A 23,042-nucleotide genomic window follows, 5' to 3' on the forward strand; every position below is an offset into this window, starting at 1 on the left:
CTTGATGAACTCCCATTCTTGTACATAGTTGGGGAGGAAGATGCTGTCACCTGAGAACAGGCCTGAATGAGGCTCCTACAGGGACTTTAGTTATCATTAACCACTAAGAAGAGGTGCCCAAGTCTGCACTCAGTATTGAGGCTTGACCCTTGCTCATATTCCCTTGTGGGAGCTTATATGTTCACATGCATCAGCAAGTGTGGCTCGCCTCTGGCTGGGCACACACTGCAGCAGGTGCGAATGCCAGTAACATGTGGAATGATTCACCCAAGACTAATGAATAGGAAGATTGATTTCTTTCTGAATCCTTCCCCACCACCCCAATGACGGTGCCTTTATGGTAATGGTGGTAATTAGGGCTGTTATTCTCATTCTCATCGGCATTATTTTTAGTTCCTCAGATAAGCCGAATGCCTCTAATACCAACAGTTGAGGGTCCAGAGCAGTGGCCTCTGATCACGGATCCTGGCACCAGGGGCCTCCCAGGCCCAGGAGAGGGACAAAACACAGCACCTGTGCCCTGCCCTGTGAAACACACAGGCTAGGCCCAGCTGCCTGCTGGTGGAGAGCTCTGGCTTGGGCCCCAAAGAACTCCAGGACCTGGTCACAGTGCCTCTCAGGGAGACTCTAAGAAAGGTCAAGCTAGCCACCCCAGTGTGGGATGGACCTCCTTCCCTCTGCCCTTCCCTCTTTACAGTCTCTTATTGAATCCTTACTATTCCTATGTGGGGGGCTGTGCTAGACTCCAGCAGAAGGAGGGTCAATGTGTAGTCTCTTCCCTCCATCTCTCCAGGCACCGATAGACGTACAAACAAGAAACCAGAGCTACGTGGTCAGAGCAACAGGGAAGGCTTCACAGAGGAGGCAATATTTGAGTTTGGTCCTAAAGGTTGAGTAACAGACCCCACTAGGTGGAGAAATGGGGTAGGAGAGGACCTTCCAGGACCAGCCAGTGGCCAGAGAAGCTGGGAATGGGGAGATGAGACTGCACAGACACCTGTAATTAACCTGGGCAAGGTGCAGTGGGCTTGTGCTTTTGTGGGGAGCATAAGGAGGGAAGGGAGTAGCGTGGCCTCTGAAAACTGCCCGACAGCCTGATGACATATGCTTGTCATACTCTATTTGGAGCATTGCTACTCAAAGTATGGCCTGTGGACTGGCAGCATCGTATCACCTGGGAGCAGATTAGAAATGCAGGCTCTTAAGGCTCACTCAGGCCTAAGGACTCAATCTGCATTTTCACAAGATCCCAGGGGATTCCTATGCATACTGAAGACTCACCTCGCAGCTGCTCAGACCCCTGGGTCAGGGGCCTGTAGTGAGCATAGATCATGGTCTAGAAAGCCCTCCAGATGAGTGGTGTAACGAATAGTTTTTGGAAACCTAGGTTTGAGTCCCACCTCCACTGTGTCCTAGCCTCTCTGAGCTTTCATGTCCCGATGGAACCTAAGCAGCAGACTTGATAAGAATCAATGAGACGGCCCGTGGAGGCACCTGGCCCTGCGTCCAGCACCAAACAGAGGGTTTACTCTGTCCCACCAATGGGAACCATGGGTTCCAAAGCCCTTCTCACAATCCCAGGCTCGTACCCTACCCAGGCCAACCTGCAGGAGAGGTGGGTCACTGCCCCCATGGGAGCCACCACATGGATGTCACTTGAAGAATGGCCTAGACCTTTCTGCAATTAACACTTCTTCCTACTCCCCTTCCCTCCTGGGCTTTATCTTCTCCCACCGGGCTAACCACCCGCAACCCTTGGTGTTTGCCCAAAGTATGTCTGCAGCTGTCTGACCTGGAAGAGGGAATCCCAGGCAAACGCGGCTGCCCCAGCACCTCAGGACACCGAGCTGACAGCAGCACCATGCTGGCTTCCCATCTCTCTAGTCCTGCTGCTGCCTCCTGGCCCGGCAGCCCCAGGGTTGTCTCCTACAACCACATCTCACCCATTAGTACCAGCCGCCCTCTCTGCAGCCATTGCCCCGGGATGACCAGGGAGGGAGCTCAGCCTCCTGTAGGGTCGGGTAATTTTAATTAGATTTGCCTGCCTGGGGCAGCCTGGCTGCTCCAAAGCACATCAGGGAGTCGGCATTTTATGTCAATAAGTGTAACCAGACCCTTTCCATTCAGATGAGTGCCCCACACTGGCTTTTGGGAGCCCCCATCATGGCCCCTGCTAGAACCACAGATGAAGGAAGGGTGGGTGTGGCCCCTCCCTGCCTAGGACACTGCTCGGTGGCAGAGGGGCAGTGTGACAAAGGGGAGGGAGCCTGCCAGTGCCCGGGAGGTTTTATTTGTGTATGAGGATGTGTTAATGAAATGTACTGGTTCCCTTCTGATGTGGAAACTGTGGGGTGGGGGACGGAGGGCAGCGTCTGTCTTTAATTGGATCATACCAGAGCGTCATCTGGACTAATCAGCAAAGCAACCAGGGGCTCCGGCTCAGATTAATGATTGCAGTCTAATCCGAGCAGATCCCATGATTGGATGCACATCGCGGGTAATTGTGTTTGTGGCCCAGGAGCAGCACTGAGAGGGGGTCCAAAGAGGGGAGGCCGGTGGAGTGAGGGACCACAGGTTTGGACCCAGCTCAGTTCTCTCCTCCCCCAGCCCCCACCTCAACCCTGGGGTTTTCTCCCAAAGAAGTTCAAGCTTAGCTTGAACCACAAGCCCCACCCGCCCATGCTGGTGAGGAGTCCGATGTTAGGGGCTGCCTAAATCAGGGGATTAGGTTGCCAGCGGCGCAGAGGCAGGGCCAAGAGGGTGAGGTTAATCCAGCTTTCCCTCCCCCTCCTCCCCTCCAGTCTCCTTCGTTCCCCTTTGAAGTGAGTGGGTTCCCATGGAAACCATGGTGTCCTGAGGAGCGGAAGAGGGGCAGGAGCTAGGCCTGGCCAGGTGCGGGTGGGGGAGGAGGTTGGCTTTGCGAAGACTGCTCTGCTAAGGTGTTGGCTCACTTCCCTAAGGCTGAAAGATTCTCTCCGAGAACCAGGGACGCGGAGGTGCTAAAGTTGTTGCCCATTACTGATAAGGAAAAGCTGGGCTGGAGGCATGAGCAGTGAGAAGACAGTGAGGGCAGTGGTGCTTTGCCTTTCCATTAAGAACCCAGAGAGTGGAGCTGCAGGTCAGGGATAGAGGGTGAGGTGGCTTCCGGACTCTGCCTGTCTCCTTTGTGGCATTACTCACAATTGAATTAACTGTGTTAGCATTTGTGTCAACCTTATTTCTGTTTCCCCTGCTATACTGTTAACTCCAGAGGACAGGGTCTGCGTCTGTCTTGCTCATTGCTTTATCCCCAGCACCTTACATGATACCTTAGAGTCAGCAGCTTAGACGAAGTAGCTACTGCATCAAAGCTTGTTGGACGGCTTCATTAAATGGTTAGGGAGCACCCCATAAATATACCATAGTTCTAGGTTGATGTGCCGGCAAACGTCTCTCGAGGCGGGGAAGGGGAGCAGCTCCGATTCGTAGCATTTGCTGATCCCCGTGATGTAAATACTCATACCATGGCCCATCCCAAACCGCCCACCTGAGGGCACCGAGCAGTAGGGAAGACGTGAGGCTCTCGCTGCCTCAAAGCCCAAACCCCACCTAGGGAGCCAGGTTCCAGGCGCACAGTCTCTAGATTTACATGCGTAAGCCCATCTTACAGGCCAGTTCTTTAGAATGGTGTTACTGATACTTTTAGCTGCAATCCTACATTCTTGGTCCTCACTGTCCTATCTGGTCCACTCCTGGGTTCTAAATTTGAAATGTTCTCTCTTAATCAATGAACTCTTGGAACAGCACCTGGTGTGGATAGGTGTTTTATAAGTGTCTTCAGTGATGATTTTCCACCTAAATGCCAAGGCAGTCTGTCTCTTTCCATCTGCTTCAGCAGAGCCCCATCTTCACTCCAAACTTCTCCATCTTTTCCAAGTGGCTTTCAAGCCTTTCCTGGTCTATCAGCGAATGATCTCCTTCCTCGCAGCTCCAGAAACCCTGCTTCAAACCATTCTTCTGCCTCCTCTTTAGTTTCTTAGCTCTGAGAATCTTGCACTTTCCACACCATGTGTCTAGTTCATTCTGTCAGTCTCATCTCCCACACATCACAAGCTCAGAACTTCTACCCACATGGGACCACCAGAGAGCTCATGCTCAAGTCCAGCTCTAGTTCAATAAAAGCAATGTGAGCCCTGTTTATAATGCACTTGTTTCTGTCTCATGCAGACTGGATGGCAGAATCCACAGTTGTGTGGGGAGGAACAGAGCAGGACAGTAGGCAGTGTTCAGATCACTCCCTTGAGACTATCCTAAAGGTCACGGAAGTTCCCGGCATGATCCTGACAGCCCTATAGCCAGAGGTGCAAATGCAGCCATGGCCCTGTGTTGGGCAGTGGGAAATAGAATCATGCTCTAGAAATAGACTTGGTGAGAACTGGCTTTGTCACCATCGGCTAGCTCATCTCTCTGGGACTCTGTTTTCTCAACTATCAAAAAGAAAAATGATAATAGCTAGAATACAATAAGATAATAAATGGCATACAGATCAGTGTTCAGTAGACTGGGGTATTTTAAACAGAGGAGCCAGCATATGCTGCTTTGGCCCATTCAGGATGTGAAGTCTGGTACATTCGGGGGGACAGGATCGGGGTCACGAGCACAGCCTGGTTCACACTCTAGCTCCATCACTGGACACTAAAACTTTCTGTGACTCAGTTTCCTCATCTGTAAAATGGGGCTAAAAATAGTACCATCTCCTCATCTAGATTGTCATGAGGTTTAAGTGAGATAACACAGGTAATGTGCTTGGTAAAGAACCTGGCAGGTGGTCCACATTCTGTGGGTGTCAGCCGCTGTTGGATGTATTGGTGTCAGGCAGGAGCTTGTGAGCCAGGAGGTAAATGCTGAGAGGCGGCGCAGCAAGAGGCAGGGCTGCCAAAGGTTTCCAGTCAAGTGGTCTTCACTCTACAATTCAATTAATTATGAACTGAGCTCCAGCATGCGTAAGGCATTGTGGTAAATTCGGAAAGGGGTCCTGTGCAGGGACAGAGGGAAAGATAGGCGTAGAAAGTAGCTGTGACATAAACTTGGCACACAGCATGGGCTCAAAAAAGTGTTTGTGGATTTGACCGCAGAGCTTCAGGCCTGCAGTGTAGCGTGGGAGAGTTGCACTGCTTTTCCCAAGGGAGGTGAGCCCCGAGAGAATGACAGCCACGCTACCAATCCTGGGGCTGGGCTGGTGGATGGGGTGGGAGGAATCTCTCCAGGTTTGAGGCTAGACAGATAGGCTGGGTCCTGTGTGACTGTCCTCTGTAGCAGCCGCCTGGTCAGGACCCTGGGAACTGGAACTTCCTAATGAAGTGTCTTTGAGAGAACTCTTCCACCCTGTGACCAAAGAGTGTTCTGGCTCCAGTGAAGTTGACCCTGGGGCTTAACCCTCTGCCTTCCCTGGCATTAGGCTTGGTCATTCCTGGAATGTGCTGGGTGAGGTGGCCTGAGAATGGTGTGGGAGACATGCAGCCATTCCAAGCAGAGAAGTTAGGACCGGATGCTTCGTGCCAGGGCCTCTGGACTACTAGGTGCTGTGGGCAGATGTTCCAGGCTGTGTCCTTGGCTGGGCTTTGTGGGATGGGGGTTCTTCTGGTGGATAGTCCCTGCTTTTTGAAGCAGCTGGGTTCACTGGCACCTGAGGTAACATCTCAGCTGCTGACTATAGTCAGGGGGGTGATCCTGCTGGAGCTATAATCTGAAAAGTGAAACCATGCTCAGATTTCCTCTGTACCAGGCAAAGCCTATTCCCTGCCCTTTCTATGGCATCATAAGGCCTCCCGCACCAAGCCCAGCCTTGCAACTGATGCTGACAGGCCCAGAGGCTGCAGCTGTCTTGCTCAGGGAGCAGGTGTGCTCAGGAGTGGTTGGTCGTGCTGCTTCCACGGCTCACCTCCCTGACCTAGGTAGAGCTCCATCATCCAGGGTCCCCGCCAAGACCAAAGATCCAGGAGTCCTGAAATCTGATGACTTTTATCCTCACAAGGTTATGTTAGGATTCAATGAGATAACCAATGCTAACAGCTGGCAGTGCTTGGCACACAGAAGGCTCTTGGTGAATGGTATCTACATTCATGAAGAAGGACTGCACCGGGTCTGTCCCCCTTACAAGAAGGAAGACAACCAGCAATTGGGCCTCCTGCTAGTGCAAATGACATGGGGTGGGGTGGGGTGGGGTGGGAGGAGAACAGAAAGCTGGGGCCATGAAGGTTCATATGGCCAGTGGCTTCTCACCGGGCCTGAGCTAAGCCAGCTTCCCTGTCTTTTAACCATAGTGCCACTTTCTGCTTTTCCCAGGCACTGATCCATTTCATGGTTGAGTGGGAAGAACCTGAACTGAAAATTTAGTCTGCATTCTGACTCTATCATCGGGCAAATCTTTAACTTCTTTAGATAAGCTTTCCTACCCCACAGGGTAGGCATCAAACGAGGAGAGGAGAGATCTGTAAAAATGTTAAGGCCTCTCCAAACACACACAAGTATTATTACAAGAGGAGGTTCTTTTGGAAACTCACCGGATAAAGCAGAGATTCTCTCATACAGCAACAGTCTCGTGGCTCCCAGGGTAATCCTGGCAGCTCAGTGCTTGGACCCCAGGATGTGTATGACTCAAGAACAGTAGAGAAAAGGGGGAAGGCAGATGAAGTGAGTTCAGTAACTGCTCACAAGTAGTACATGGGAGAGAGGGGAGAGCACACGATTTGGAGTTTGAATACCTGGATTTTAAATCTCAACTCAGTTACTGCATAGCCTGATGCGGTCATTTAACCACACAGCACATCTGTTTGCTAATGAGTGAAATGAGAATGAGAAGCCCGTTGGGGTATCAAAATGCAATAAGCACATATAAGAGCACTTTACAAAGTGCCACTGAGTGTGTGTGGGTGTGTGTTTAGTCCTTGACTGTGACCAAGACAACGTGGTTAGGGCTCACCTCCTCACAGCATCTCTTCCCCTTGAAGTTCTTTCTCTAGGGGGACTGGCTGAATTTCTGGTGACTTGGCTGGAATCACTGATCGCCTTTCACTAGCTGCCTAATTTCAGGAAGGACACTTGTCTTTTCTCTTTTGTTTATAACTTTTATTTTCAGTTCGGGGTGCAGGAGCAGGTTTGTTATATAGGTAAACTCGTGTCATGGGGTCTGTCGCACTTCTCTTTTCACTGCCAGAGTCACCTCGCCTTGTTCTGAAGGGGCTGGACGCGACATCCCCACCAGGTCTCATGTATCAGGCTCTTTGTATTTTTGCCCTCGCAGAGCAGTTTTAACTTTCACTGTGTTGAGATTTCACATAGATGCGTTTAATGTGCCGGGAGGAGTGTGTGCGTGCATGTGTCTGAAGGGAGGAGGGCTGAGTAGACTGCGACCTGCCCTGGGCCCCACACTTGCCGGGAATGGACCTGTCCACCCACCTGGGGGAGGAGAGCTGGGCTGGAGCCCAGGAGCTCTGACAGATGCAGCTCCAATTTAGCAACTCGAAGAAGTCCTCTCCAAGGCAACCCAGGCGAACACACCGCCCACTGGGCAGGACTAAAAATACACCCGCATGGTTTCAACGTCACACCTGAAGTAAAAATACATCCAACCAGGGGCCGCTGGCTCGCTCCCACCCCCCTCTGTTCTCTCCATCTGGTGCTTTCAAGGGGAGGAGAAGCAGAGGGCTGGACAAGCACCTTCCTCCCTACTCCCTCCCCTCCCTCTAAGACCTCACCACCCTCTCTGCAGGCAGCCCCCAGCAGAGCCCCAAAGAAGGCAGGTCCTTTCGTAGCAACTGTGACTAGAAGCTGCCAGATGGCAAAATCTGTTCCAAGTCCCCCTAGTATGGATGGATTCTGAGCCTGAAAGAACTTGAGGATTGTGTCTCAAAACCTTCATTCCAATAGTCATTGCTTACTCCACTCATTCATTCACTGATTCCCATTCACTGATTCGTCAAAAATGTATTGATCCTCTGCTGTGTGCCATATACTGTGCCTAACCCTTGGGAGTTCAGAGAGAGAGAAAATGTGGTCACCGACTGGAGGAGCCCACCATGCCATGAGGAAGACAGTCCTGTGCACAAACGACTGTGCTTAGTAGAGTTTAAGAAGTGTCATAAAATAAATAAAAATAAATTTCTATTGGCAGTCCTTTTTCGGTTAAAAGAAAACGAGGTTCGAAGTTCTGATAAATTGTAAGATGCCTCTCCCTCCTCTTTCTGGGCCTCTATTTGAATTGGCATGTGGGTTTGTTTTCCCAGCCAAATGAGTCAGTGGAGATGGGAATATAAATTTATTGGAGTAGATGGTGTCAGTGTTGCCCTGAATTTAAAAAGTGCCCACGCACCGTTCCAGGGAAATGGAGCAGGCATTAATTGATAGTTTACTAAGTGCCAGACACTCTCCATGTTTCTTCATTTAATTCTTACAGGAACCTGCATGGGAGGTGTTGTCCTTAATGAAAGAGGACACTGAGGCTCCAAAAATTCAGTAACTTACCCAAAGTGTAGCTTATTTCAGACCACCCAGCTTCCCACCCTAAATTGTGAGTGAGGTCAAGGAAGAAACCCCTAGCATTTGCTGTGAGGGCTCGGAGGAGGCGATGGTTTCTCTTGCTGGAGAGACCCATGAGGGGAGCCTGCACAGAAGGCATGTTGGCCTGGATGCTGAGGTCGTTGGAGGGGACATGAAGAGACACAGGAGCAGGGAATTCAGGTGGAAGGAGCAGCAGGAAGAAAGTCATGGGCACACGAGAGCAAAGGGCAAAGATGGGCACAGGAAGGCACAGAAGTTTGCTTTCCACGGGCTGCTGAAGGACAGTAGTGACCATTCCAGGGACCAGGGTCCGCCTGCCCTCTCCTTCCAGCCACCACCTTTCTCTGCTGAGTCCTTTTACAGGGTTGTCCAATCTTTTGGCTTCCTTGAGCCACATTGGAAGAAGAATTGGCTTGAGCCACACATAAAATACACTAATACTAACAATAGCTGATGAGCAAAAACAAACAAACAAAACAACAAAACAACAACAAAAACGCAAAAGAAAAAATCTCATAATGTTTTAAGAAAGTTTACGAATTTGCGTTGGGTCACATTTAAAGCCGTTCTAGGCTCCATGCCACCCATGGGCCGCGGGCTGGACAAGCTTGATCTAGGAGAGATACTGAAAAGGGTCTGAGGCCACATGATGAAGAGCCTGGAGCGCCCATCTGCGAGCGCTGGCTTCATTTCACCATCATCCAGGAGAAAATTTACTGCCCTCCTCTGAAAGGGCACTTGTTGTGGACCATCTGCGGTAAACAGATGCCCCAGGAAGGGGTTAGGGGTCTGTTTGGGAAAGTAGTTTCTAGGCTATTCTCTGGTTCTGAGATCCCAGTGGTGTCTGGCCTGGGCACTAAGAAATAAAGGCTCAGAACGCCAGTCCTCAGGCAGAGTTTCTGGAAAGGCGAACTTTTAGCTACTTGACAACCACTCACTGTGTGCCGGTAGGGCATAGGTTGGTAGCCAGAGCGCCACCGATCCCTGCGTGCCCCACCTCACCCCACCCCACCGGCCAACAGCCTTGTGTCCTCTGAGCAGTGGGACCCTGACCAGGCCTCTGGTCCTGCTGGCCCATGCCTGAAGATGTCCACCAAAAAATCTTGTTCTCCCATGCCTTCCACCTCTGGATCATCCATCCTTGGCCCAACAGGAAGAGACAGAGGCTCTGTCTCCCCTGTCCCCATTGGAAGAAGCAGCAGGGGTTCAGGGATGGGGTGGGCACTGACCCTGGGCTTCCCTCTTCCCACCCCCAAGAGGGTGAGAATGGCTGTAAGGAAGGTGCGGAAGGAGCCGGGGGGCTCCAAGGTCAGTCACAGGAAAGGAGGTGGATGGCCCAGGCAGGCAGCCACACACTTGGCTGGACCCATAATTGAGGTCTGCAGTCCTGGCCAAGGTCACAAGGGAAGGGATGGCTGAGAGGCTTAGAAGGGACAGAGTGGCATGACTGTGAATCACAAAGTTTATCACCCAGAAAGAGAACTCAGCATTCACATCTCCCCTTGCCGGTGACCACCCTCGCCCCCGCTCATGGCTGGTGCTGTTTCTGTCTGCATATCCACTCTCTGGCTCCCTTGTGTTTTGCATCTTCGCCTCTCTGAAGCTCTGTATTTTTGCATTCTTTCTAACTTCTTTTCTGTCTCTGCTTCTGTTTCTACTCCTCCCCTAAGAAGGAAGAAATGTTTGTTTTTTTTTTTTAAACCCAGGTGGTCCAAAAAGAAAGAAAGAGAAATGAAAAAGGATCCAACTACCTTTTTTTTCTTTCTCTTTTTTTTTTTTTTTTATTTTTTGAGACAGAGTCTCAATCTGTCGCCCAGGCTGGAGTTCAGTGGCGAGATGTCGGCTCACTGCGACCTCCACCTCCTGGGTTCAAGCAATTCTCCTGCCTCAGCCTCCCGAGTAGCTGGGATTAAAGGCACGTGCCACCATGTCTGGCTAATTTTTTGTATTTTTAGTAGAGACAGGGTTTCACCATGTTGACCAGGCTGGTCTCAAAATCCTGACCTAAGGTAATCCACCCGCCTCAGCCTCCCAAAGCGCTGGGGATTACAGGCGTGAGCCACCATGCCCAGCCAAGGACCCAGCCATCTTTTTTTGAGTCTTTTAATAAAAAGAAATTAGCCACAGCCACATAGGGGAAGTTTAAGTTATATATGAGCATAAGAGTTACCAAGGAAGTTGCGGGGTCCATTCCTGAAGGCCTTTAAAAATGTTAGGGCAATCTGTCAGCCCGATTTATGTTAAGAATATCTGTCTTGAGGTGGGGAGGAATATGTGGGCTTTGCTGAATCTTGCCTGCCCCATGATGCTCTCCAAGGCTTTGGTGTTGATTGAGGGGTCTCAGCCTCTCTGTTACTAAGAGAGAGGGTGGTGCTAACCTCTGCACAGGGCTGCAGCCAACATACTGCCCTGTCTCTAATCGCCTCTCCCGGGGACAGCTGCACACACCTTGGCCCCAAACTGGGCATTCCAGACCAGCAAATTTGGGTGATGTAAAAAACACGAAGGCAGAAATGTCAGAAGTAATTAAACCCAACGATGGCTTAAACCCCTGTAGAAATCAACACATCTGGTTTAATCACCTTCTTAAGCTAGCACAAGACTGCAATTCTGTGGAGAGGGGTTCTTTATTTCTTTGGATCGTTAACAAGAACTGCATATCTTAAGTTTGATTTTAGTTCAGATGCTCCTGGGGAGAGGTGATGAGGGTAGGGGGTGGAGGGTGGGATGGGGGACTCAGAAAGGAGAAAAGAAATAATAAAATGTTATTCGCGATCATCTCTTCTTCCCCTCTCCCTGAGCTGAGCTGCGTCTCCCTCCTGCCTGCCTGTGTCCGCGCTCCTGGGGAAGGCGCCCGCCCTCCCGGCACCCAGGCGGAGGCGCAGAGCTGAATGTGCTAAATTAGGCCATTAGAGAAATTCATTTCTCTTTATTAGTCTGTGTCAAATCCTTTTTATTAGTGGCTGGAAACGACCTCTCTTCTGCAGTAAAATGTCATGCCAGTTCACTCCTTTTATTTGTTCTGCACTGACGAGGCTCAAACGCTCACTGAATTAGTGCAGAGAGATTTATTTCCTCCAAATTTTGAACGGCTTAAGAGAGATTGGGGTGGAGGGGGCGGTCGGGAGGGAGGCGACATGGGGAGAGAAGAGCGAAGAAGGGGTTTGGGAGGGAGGAGGTGAGCTCTTATGGAGGTCACATGTCCTCAGCTCTTTGGATATAAAGTCTAATGACCATTCCTCACATCCCACTCATCATCATCGACACTCGGCACTGGACACCAAGTGTCCACATCTCTGCTTCTAGCCCATGGAGGATGTGGACCCACAGTGGAAGATATCTGGACAGCAGGAAGAAGCACTCCTGAAAAACCATTTTGTAGTGGGACAAACTGAGGCTCAGGGAAGGCCAAAGTCTCTCCTCTAACTGGGAATCCTTCTCCCCACCCATCCCTGGCTCACACAGGGCCATTTGTATTACAGGTGGCTTTGATGGCAGCTCTCATGGGCTCTGCCCTCAGGGTAGACCCCCAAGCCTGCAGCCGAGACTGCTGGGAAGAACTTTTCCAAAGTGGCTGCCAGCCTCCTCTCATGCTTTAGGGGGTGATGTTGGAGGGTAGCTTAGACAATATAAGTCAGCCTTTAGGCAGGTACAGGCTGGGCACCTGGGGAAGGGGAGGTGACTCTCCCATAACTGTGTTGGGAACAGCTTGCGAGAAGCCCAGGACCACGCTGCAGCCACAAAACCCACGGAGTCGCTGAGAAATGGAGCGTGTCTCTCAGTGGGCAGTGCAGTGTCTCAGGTATCCCCATGCATGAGGTAGAAGGTAGTGTCTGGGTTTATCAAGTGGGCCAGGTGGATGGAGCATGGGAGCCACAGGCGCCCCGCTGACCATGACCATGGATCACAGGAAAAGCTGTGGGTGATCTCAGATGCTGTCTGAGCTCTGAGAGAGCAACAGGGCTCTGGGATGGGATGGGAGGAGCCAGACGCTGGAGCATGGGGAGGCTGGGGTAGGAGAAGAGAGGATCTGGGGGCTGACAGTACCCTGCCCTCCAACCCTGACTGCTCAGTCCTCAGGTTGCAGAGCAGCTGGAGAGAGGGTGCCAGGCCAGTACCTGTAAAGTCTGCCCTATGCTCCATAGACTCTTAGTTAACTTGGAGGGAAGGATGGGCAGCATGTTCCTTTCTTCTGAGACAGCAGGAGCCACAGAAGACACCCCCAGATATGCCCCCACATACATACACATAGCCATTCTGGGGAGATCTGACACCTGGAAGTGAAGGAGGTTTAGAAGACAGACCCTGGCTGTGGTTCTGCAGAGGAGGTGCATGTTCCCTGCTGTATGTGACAATGCCTCCCACCCCATCCCTGCAAGCCCAGCTCTGTCACGAGGCACCTCATGATCTGACTCCTGCTGCCTTTTCAACTTCCTCTCCCTCCACTCCCCACCTGCCTACCTGGCTTCAGCCACACTCAGCTACATCTTGTTCCAGAAACATGCAAGCTCATTCCTGTCTCAAATGCTTTGCTTTTTCTCCTGCTGGAACGCCAGTCCCTTAGCTCCTTGCGTGACTACGTCTCATCATCCGAGGCTTAACTTAAATGTCACCTCCGCAGAGAGGCTCTCCCTGACCACTCTAAGAAAAGCTGCTCCTCCCTGCAGAAGCAAGGACAGAAGCAGAGGAGATCACCCTCCTCTCCCTACCCAAAGCCTAGTGCTAGTAGCTGGGGGACACAGTCGTGGCAGATGTCCCGTCCTTACCCCACATGCCACTCACACTGTGTACACAGAACACACCATCCCTGTACACATACACACATATTGCATACAAACAGCACAGAGAACATGCACACTGTGCTCACAGCACACAAAATCAGCACCCCAGTTACATACACTACCCATCTGTGCTTATATACAGCATTAGCACAACACTGCGTGTGCACACAATGAAAACACACAGGACCCCACACAACACTTGTTCTCATTGACAGCCTGCATATAACCTTGGTGCACACACATGCATATGCACGCGCACACACACACAAGCACACACACACTTTGTCCCCTCCCTCCAACTAACCAGTGAGAAAGGAATGTGCGGTGACCGCAGCTGCCACGGGGTTGCAGCGGGGGCCGCACCCCCACCACCTGGCACGATGCTGCGGATTATTAGTTCCTGGTAATTTAGTGCCCTTGTACAGAGTCGATTTGTGCCTTTCATTCCTAATTGATCTAGTGGCTGTTTAAATGGCAGCAGGCATCTGTTGAGAGTAGGGAGGTTCATAAGGCGCAATAATTCATAACACCGTCTGGAATTTGCCTTTCATGTCCCTCAGCTAAACCACTGCAGGGCTCTGCTTAAATTACAGCCACTGAGGCTTTCTTTGGTATTCCACTCAGGGCCAGGAGAATCTTGCATTAAACTGGGATCAGGTTAGATTAGACTATAATATGCTGCAGTATTAGTGGCTGCAAATGAAGACTTATACTGGAGTTTAACCCCTTCACCTGGTTTTCTCTTTGTCTTCAGCCGAATGGCTAAGCTAACGCATTGTTTTCCCTACCAGCTTCCCGGTAGATCTTTCTCAATGGATCTCCTGGCAGTTTGGGGCAGCAAATAGGCCACCCTTAAATATTGACCCTTTTTTTCTGCAGACTGCACACCGAGTCTGCAGCCCTGGGGCCCAGCAGTTTAGGCATCGGCTTCCAAAACCAGGGTCGGGGAGAGAGTGTGCAGGGACAGGCTCTGCCAAGCCCAGCAGCTCCTCTGGAGCAGGAATTTCTCTTTTCCTCCCCCACCACCCCTGAGTCTGAGTAGAAAGACTCATAAAATGCGAGTGTGAGTGTGGATGGGGGTACGCACTTTGTCTTTTTGTCCAAAATTGTTAGAATTCCAAGATGGACAGGCTCCTAGGGGTTCCCCCACCCACTTACAAATACCATGTAAGCTAGATATTCAGTCCTTCTCTGTGTGCTCCGTCACGGTGTGCTGGAGGGGAGACCATTGCCTGTTTGCCTTACTTGTTGTGTTCTCGGTAGGACGTGGTGGCTCACACCTGTAATCCCAGCACTTTGGGAGGCCAAGGCAGGCAGATCACTTGAGGTCACAGTTTAGACCAGCCTGGCTAAAGTGGTGAAATCCCCTCTCTGCTAAAAAAAAAAAAAAAAAAAAAATTAGTCAGGCATGATGGCGGGAACCTATAATCCCAGCTACTTGGGAGGCTGAGGCAAGAGGATCACTTGAACCCTGGAGGCAGAGGTTGCAGTGAGCCAAGATCATGCCACTGCACTCCAGCCTGGATGACACAGCAAGACTGTCAAAAAAACAAACAAACAAAGACTTACTGTTTCAGTATGGTAGTCACTAGCCACATGTAACCTCTTAAATTTAAAGTAACTAAAATGAAGTAAAATTAAAAGTTCAGAGTCCTAGTTACAGCAGCCATATTTCAAGTATCCATTGGCCTCATGGGGTTAGTGGCTGCCATATGGGGCAGTGGAGATTGCAGAACATTCCCACCATTGCAGAAAGTTCTGTTGCACAGCACTGGCTAGACCATCCCCTTGAGCAGAAGCATGGGGGCCAGGTCCAAGTCCAACACACATTCCTCCTCCTTGCCCAGCAAATGGGACTACATCAAAAAACAAAAAAAACAAAACAAAACAAAACAAAAACCTACATTGCATAGTTCCAGGAGCCTGGGGAGACAGACCAGAGAGGGCTGTGAGATGCATTTTTGGAACTGCAGTGGAAGGGAATGGGACTCTCTGGAGTCCAGTGTCAACAACCCATGCACTCGCATGCACACATACTGTAGAAATAAAGGTGCTGTGGACTTATACATGCAAATACACCTACACACATAAAACATATATATTTCCCAAATACTTTTTGAGATCCGCATACATCTGACTAGACTTTGGACATATAGTGATAAATAAGGTGAGCTAGATTCCTTCCCTCATGTAGCTCACAGTCTAGTGAGGAAGGCAGACAATAAAACAAACAACTCAGGGACTATGAGTGTAGGTTTGGCGGTGGGGGAATGGGGGTCAGGAGTCAGAAAAGCTTTCAAGAGTTGCTGATCTCCAAGATAAAATCCATAGAGCCAGGCCGGGTGGTGGCTCACGCCTGTAATCTCAGCACTTTGGGAGGCTGAGACGGGCGGATCACGAGGTCAGGAGATCGAGACCATCCTGGCTAACATGGTGAAACCCCATCTCTACTAAAAATACAAAAATAAGCCAGGCGTGGTGGCGGAGGCCTGTAGTCCCAGATACTCAGGAGGCTGAGACAGGAGAATGGCGTGAACCCAGGGAGGGAGAGCTTGCAGTGAGCCGAGTTCAAGCCACTGCACTCCAGCCTGGGTGACAGAGCGAGACTCCGTCTCAAAAAAAACAAAAAGATCCATAGAGCCATTTAGGTAAACACTTTGGCTCACATCTAGATGTCATAGAACCCCCCGCCCCGACCACCACACATACCCTCTTCACTCATTGATTCCTTCATTCACCGAATATTTATTAAGTGTCTGCTATGAGCATGCATGCCAAGGTCTTAGGGATATCAGGATCACTAAGTCAGGTAGAGTCTCAGAGGGAAACAGTGAGCAAATGATTTGCATCACATAGTGATGTAAATAATCGTTGCATCATTGTGTGATGACCTAACACACTGGGGTATCTGACCTAAACTGAGTCTACCAAGACTCAGGACAGGTGGACACATCTGCCCACCACGTGTGGATGAGTCTTCAGGCTCACGTATGTCTCCTGCATGCACTTGCAAGCACACAAGTGTTTGTGCACATCTGCCACCCTTAGCTGGCTCCAGAAAGCCAAGAATGGATCTATGACCTACCACGAATGTTCACATCCAGGACTTCTCTGGACACTCCCCACATTTCCTTCCTAGGTTGACTCTGAGCCAGAAATGGACACCTACTTCTTGGAAGGTTTATAATCCATCATCCCTCCCCAAATATTCATGCAGTTTATCTGACCAAAGAGAAAAGGTAGGCGACCAGTGGGTAGGGACAGAAGCCTCTTAAGCCCAGAAGCTGGAAGAGTGGACCCTCCTTGCCAAGGCACAAAGTGCTGCCATCTAGATTGACCATAGGGACTGGGGATGTTATCAAGGAGTGGGACCTTGGGAGAAGTGAGGGGAACGTGGGCAGGGGAGCCTGGTGGCTTCTGAGCACAGGTAGCAGCACGGTCTCTGTGTGTGCGCATGTGTGAGCTCTTGATGTCCCTGCAGGCACCCTCTTTTCCCGCTCCTGACGCTGCTGTTTGAGAAATGTGAACAGGCCACCCAGGGCTCTGAGTGCATCACCTCCGCCAGCTTTGATGTGGACATCGAGAACTTTGTCCACCAGCAGGAACAGGAGCACAAACCCTTCTTCAGCGATGACCCAGAACTGGACAATCTGGTAAAGACCCTCCACCCTCTACCCTGGCTAGAGTCTTCCTACCCTCTGACCCCCTTCAAAATGCCCTAGAAATGATCCTTTCATTAATTTACCAACAAAAGGTTTTGAGTGCCCACCATGAGTCATGCACTAGATGCACCAGTCTTGCAGCCAACAACCATTTCTAAGTGCCTTAAACCAAGAGTTCCATGCACAGGCTTTGCTGCCAAAGTTCTGCCCATCTATGCCCAGGGTGGCACTAGCATCTTAGCACCCACCCTTTTACAGTGCAGACAGGAGGAAAGAAGGGTCATAACAGCCAGAACATCTGGGGTAGCTGTTCTGAGTCCTGGAGTCCTGGCATGTTAGCAAATCTGTCTTGGGCTGTCCAGAGAGGAGCTAATAGTTGATGTGCCACTGTATGGAGGATGAAGGTATTAATGTGTTGGAGCACATTAATCGAGAGAAAGACCTGACATCGATGTGCTGAGGAGACCAGTGGAGGACCTGTTCATTCTGGGGACAGGGTAGATCAGCTTCCCAAACCTAATTTGTCAACTAGAGCATAACTACAGTTTTATAAAAATACATATTTCTAGGCCACACCGCCTGGGAATTGTGATTCAGTGAGTTTGGTGGGAGCCTGTGAATCTGCATTTTAAAAAGTTTCCTGGGCAGTTGCAATTGTCATTAGGTTTGGTAACCACTGAGTTGGATGACATCTGAATTCTCATCTAGTTCTGGAAATTCTGTGGAGAGAGCAGTAGAGAGGTTTCTCTGTTTGTCCATTACTCTAACTAGTCATCTTGGAATTATTAACCACAATTCTTTATTTTTGTGGGTGGATTACCGAGGTTATGCACAGTGAATTTAGAAACTCTGTAAAAATTCTCCCCCACAAATTGATTAATGATAGTGCTATCCTCTTGCATTTAGAGTTTAACTGGTACCTACTTCCAAAAGGGAAACAGAATTAGAAAAGAAAATGTGGTTCCAGAAAGGAAGAAAAAGAACACACACACACACACACACACACACACACACACACACACTGCATCTGCAGAACCGGTGTAACTGGCTTTGGTATTCTGTGCTGTGAATTATCCACACCACCGCTTCTCTCAAGAGCTGAATATGTGACTGTATGGAGTCCAGAAGAGCTGCCAGGAGAGCCCACCCTAGCCAGAAGCTTTGTGAAGTGTCATGATGGGTGGAGTGTTTGAAGAGCAGAGGAGGCCCTGCCAGAGGATAAGGGCTCGCTTGCTGTCGGGAGGGTCAGTGAAGGCATCCGAGAGCCCCAAAGCCACCTTTTTTCATCCTGGGGCATCCGTTTCCCTGGCTGGGATTGGCAGCCCCCTTCCCAGGAGGCAGGCCATTGTCTCTCAGGTCCCATGGGAAAGCTGCCCTGTGCAGGTGCTCCAGTTGCAGGCTGGTTTTGCTCTGCCCTGTGCTCCGGCTGATCAGAACCATAGACTGCAGTCGGGGAGCAGATCCTTACAACCTAGACCCATGGCAGCCAGGGGGCCAGGAGATGCCGCAGCCATTTCTGTAGGAGCTGGGATGGACCTGGGGGGTGGGGCCCACTCCCTTCATTTGACACAAAAAGAAACTGAGGCCTAAGTTGGTAAGGAAATATCAAAAAGTAAACTGGGTAGCTAATGTGAAATAACTTATACCTTCTTAAGAGGGAGGAGTTCTGGGGGAACAAATTTCTCATGCCCTGCCCACCACCACCTGCCAGGTGAGCTCTGGAGACCCACCAAGAACGGCCTCCCATCCTAGCTCAGCCTGGAAAACGCCCAGGTGGCCACTTCCATGCTCTCTCCTGGCCAACATGAGGTAGGTTCCCCAGGGTTCTGTTCACTCAAAGAATCATATTTAGAATCAATCTAACAGAACTTGGTTGAGTGTCTGCCCCATGCCAGGCCTGACCCAGGGATGTGGTTGCTGTGGAAGCTGCCCTGGTGGCCCCATACTGCCAGCGTTCCCTGGTCTTCCATCTCAGGCACTGGGCTGGGAGTGTCCAGCCAGTGGAGCAATCCTTGGACATTCCATCTACTTGGGTGCACCTGATTTATCTAGTTGAGTTAGCCATGGTCAATGACTGGTTGATTGACTGGCTGATTATGTAAATGGAGATATTTGAAAGAGTGCTATCTGAGCCTCACCACTACTGTCTGTGTGATTTGGATGACTTAACTCCTTTGAAGCTCGGTTTCCTCATCTGTAGATCTAACACACCTATCTCGTGTGATGGTAATACAAAATTAATGAGATGGCACTGGGAAATGGCCTTTAAAAATGCCTGTCATCTGGAAGGTTAATCTCAAGTGCAGGGCCCCTCCGTCAAGGTGCTCCAGTTCCTCAACTTCATATCCTGGCCACCAAAGAGACCGTGCGGCCGGGACCATGAAACTTGATGTGGGGAGTCAAGCAGTGCCCCTTGCCACCCCCACCCCTGGTCCTGTGTCAGGAAGTGGGAGGTAAAGAGGCCAACCACCGGAGCCATCATTAGAACAAGAATCATGTAGCCAGCACAGCCAAGATGCACATAATTAGAAATTAGAAAAAGGTCAGATCGCGTCATTATCAGCTCAATCAGCTGCCAAGTGCCACAGCCAGTTAATTTGGCATCTGTATTTTTTACAACCCCGCACACGTAGCCCAACGGACTGTAACTCTTTATCCGGACAGATATACTGCGCAGCCGAGCAGGGACATAAAATGAGAGACCCCAAGCAAATGAGCTGAGATAATTGAGAGATTTATTTCTTATATATATGTGTGTCAGGGCAGCTTTCCTTTGCCCTTGAATATTGACTTTCATAGGGATTGTCAGGAGGGCACTTGGGTCCCCAAAAACTTTGTCCCTTGGAAGTTCCTCTCTCCCCCAGGGTCCTCAAGCCCCAGCTGGGCCCTGCTTTCTCCCAGGCCCTGTAAGCCTGTGGTCTCCAGCCCCAACAAGCCCCGCATTTGAACTCAAATCCTCCCCATCCCCAGCTGGCCGCCCCCCTGTCCCCCAAGCAAGTTGCCCTGTACCACACTCCCCTGTGTCCCACAATCACCCAGGGCTGATCCGAAGATCAGAGAGGTTCCCAGATTGTAGATTTCAGTGGGAACCTCCCTCCCTCCATTAGCCACCTGCTCCCACAGCACCCCTACCAGAGAAGAAACAGATTCATCAACCATTAGAGGTAAAAGCCCTAGGGAGGGCCGGGAACCGTGGCTCATGCCTGTAATCCCAGCACTTTGGGAGTCCAAGGCGGGCAGATCACATGAGGCTAGGAGTTCGAGACCAGCCTGGCCAACATGGCGAAACCTCGTCTCTACTAAAGATACAAAAATTAGCCAGGTGTGGTGGTACATGTCTGTAATCACAACTCCTCAGGAGGCTGAGGCATGAGAATTGCTTAAGCCCAGTAGGCAGAGGTTGCAGTGAGCCGAGATCATGCCACTGCACTCCAGCCTGGGCAGCAAAGTAAGACTCCATTTCAAAAACAAACAAACAAACAAACAAAAAACCCTAGGGAGAAGCACGCCCTATCTCCTTTTATAGCCTGGGATATAAGTTCACAGAAGGAAGTGACTTGCCAGGACCAGAACCCAGGTCAGCTGACTCCTGATCCTCCGCTCTGCCCACAACATCACACCACCACTCCTCCTTCACTTGCAAATAAAAGTGCCCCCGATATCTCTTTCCGTACACCCACACTCTACCTCCCCATTTCCAGGGGACGCGGGTGGCTTTCCACCCTCATGGTGGTCAAGCTGCAATGCCCCTGGCTGGCTCCCCTGGGAAAGGCCGGCTTCATCCTTCACTCCCTCCACTCCAATTCCCATAGCCGCAGGGGCTCACCAGGACGATTCCTAAGCTGGGCCCACAGATCCCCTCCTTGGGCCCACCAGCCTCTGACTGGCAGTTGGTAAAGTTTGTAAAATTTGCAAGTTCCCCAAAACCCTTTGAAAGGTAAAAGCTTTTTGTTTTATAAAATCTGATTTACGGGCCCCCGGTGCAGGGCCAAGGTTTTATATATTATGCAAGATTTCAAACCGTGGCTGTAAAACGTACGGTTTCAGTTTCATGCATGGAATTTTTTTATGTGTAAATTTTTTAACATTTATGGGGTACATTTTAATGAGACTCTGGTGTGGCTCGAGGGACAGATTACGGCTGCCTGACCGCAAAGCCAGCTCTAAAATAGGGACCCCCAGGCCCCTGGGCCCACTCTGAAGAGGCAGGGCCAGAGGCGGAGGCTGTGGATAAGGAGGCACCTGAAGGAATCAGGCCAGAGCTCTGGGCCCAGAGGCCTCAGGCCAGCGGCATTCAGAGACTTAGCCACTTTGGCCTTCAGTCCGGGCTCTCTTTGCCTAGACAGGAGCAGAAAATCCCACAGACACCAGGAAAGGGAAAGGAAATGGGAATCCTCAACGCTAGTAATAATGAACATTTATAGAGCACTTACCAGGTGCCGGGTACCGTTCCAACTGTTTTACATATATTATCTTATTTAATCCTCTTTCTAAACCCACAAGGCACATGTTACTATTATCCCCATTTTAAGAGGAGGCAATTGAGGCAAGAGATGCAGTCACCATCATGCAGCTGGTCCATGGCCCAGGCAGGAATCAAATACAGTGCAAGACTCGCGCTCCAGTGACCACACCCAAAGCAGCTCTGGAGCTAATATCTTCTTCCATCTTTCTCTGGGCCAGGTCTTGTTTCTCATTTTCTTCTAGCTACATCTTATTTAACCCACAGTGCAACTCTGAGGAGTCACTATTATTATCTTATTTTCCAGGTGAGGAAATTACAGCTTAGAGATTATGTAAATTCTTCAGTGTCTCACCGTAGGTGGAAGACCCAAGACACCCAAGACCTAAAGCCCCGAGTGTCTTCTTTGCTGTTTAATTCTCACAAGACCCCTATGAAGTAGTTGTTATTATCCCCATTTGACAGAGGAAGAAATCAAGGACTAAGAACCCTATAGCCAATAAATTACATAGCTGGGATTTGAACCAAGTGGCTCTAACTCCTGAAGCCCACCCTCCTTCCTCGGTACCACTTCTTTCCCAAATTCTGAGGCCATCAGAAGGAGAGTGCCAGGTTATTGACTCCAAAATGATTTGACTTGTCTTGCGTGATGGTTTCCACAAAATATTTGTTTTGTCCCCGAATCATCAGGCAGTTCTCCAATCACTGGTATTCACCTTTTTTTCATGTCCCATTTTTTGTTCTAGTGACCCCACACTTCCAAATGGTCAGGCCAAGCTGGCCTGGTCTGGAAAAATTCCTGATTAGATTTGAGCATTGGCAGGCACAGTGACCCACAGGAAATATCATAGCACGTTAAGGAATGTGTGTTTATAAATTCCTTCTTCTGTCCGTGAGGGAGAATAGTTCCAGCTTCCCAATTTGCAAAAAGGAAGGAGAGGGTGAAAGGAATGTGCCTGCAAAACAAAGATGCCTCCCTAATTCCTGCATGGAGCTGAATGGGTTCCGTAATCTCTGAGCCTCAATTTCCTTATCTCTAGGAGAGATAATATTGCCTGTGTCCCTGTGGTGACGAGACTCAAATGAGATAATGGAGAGAAAGCACTTTGTAAATTGTAAAGTGCTGTGTATACAAACGTTTTGAAAGGCAAGAAATTATTATTATCAAGTGGAAAGGCCACGATCCTACAAGAGAGGCACACTGAGAGAGGCATTTGATGGTGGAGGGAGGACCATAATACCACAGTGGTATGAGGAATTGACATTTCCTGAATGGCTACTATATGCCCAACACATTTGCATACATGATCTTATTCAGTTTTCACAACAACTCTGAAGTGTAGGTATTATTGTCATCCTAAATTTTGCAGATAAAGTTCAAACTACTTGTTCAAAATATCAAGGCAGAAAATAATCAGTGTGGGACATCAGACGACATGGCTTTATAGAAAATAAGAAACCCCATTTTTGTGTACTTTCCTGGGACTGTGAGACTTGTGTACAGTGGTAGGAGACTAAAATGTGAGGTTGCATTTGTTTTGCTTTTTTGATGCAGACTTCTTAGAAAAAGAGGGCTGAATCATTATTTTGAAAGAGAAG

The 23,042-nt window shown here is 49.9% G+C and overlaps 1 protein-coding gene across 28 annotated transcripts in view, besides 2 other annotated features; it reads left to right on the forward strand.

The window, feature by feature from the left end:
• Positions 1 to 23,042, forward strand: part of PKNOX2 (PBX/knotted 1 homeobox 2) — a 268,639-nt gene that overhangs the window by 204,000 nt on the left and 41,597 nt on the right. For 23 of the 28 annotated variants that reach the window (NR_168082.1, NR_168078.1, NR_168080.1 and 20 more), the window contains one exon: positions 16,801 to 16,972. The exons of the other annotated variants lie outside the window; for them this stretch is intronic. Coding sequence is in view for 19 of the 23 variants with exons in the window: in NM_001382333.1 (NP_001369262.1) it covers positions 16,801 to 16,972 (172 nt within the window). In the remaining 4 variants the exon portion in view is untranslated. The remainder of the gene's footprint in view (positions 1 to 16,800; positions 16,973 to 23,042) is intronic. 28 annotated transcript variants of the gene reach the window in all.
• Positions 518 to 1,399: an enhancer, noted in NCBI's record as "H3K4me1 hESC enhancer chr11:125239164-125240045 (GRCh37/hg19 assembly coordinates)". NCBI's record gives its function as "activates a minimal SCP1, AML or CMV promoter by ChIP-STARR-seq in primed H9 embryonic stem cells {active_cell/tissue: H9 hESC(primed)}" and the evidence as "EXISTENCE:reporter gene assay evidence [ECO:0000049][PMID:30033119]".
• Positions 3,162 to 4,041: an enhancer, noted in NCBI's record as "H3K4me1 hESC enhancer chr11:125241808-125242687 (GRCh37/hg19 assembly coordinates)". NCBI's record gives its function as "activates a minimal SCP1, AML or CMV promoter by ChIP-STARR-seq in naive H9 embryonic stem cells {active_cell/tissue: H9 hESC(naive)}" and the evidence as "EXISTENCE:reporter gene assay evidence [ECO:0000049][PMID:30033119]".

Source organism: Homo sapiens, chromosome 11 (genome assembly GCF_000001405.40).
Source record: "Homo sapiens chromosome 11, GRCh38.p14 Primary Assembly".
Taxonomy (NCBI): domain Eukaryota; kingdom Metazoa; phylum Chordata; class Mammalia; order Primates; family Hominidae; genus Homo; species Homo sapiens.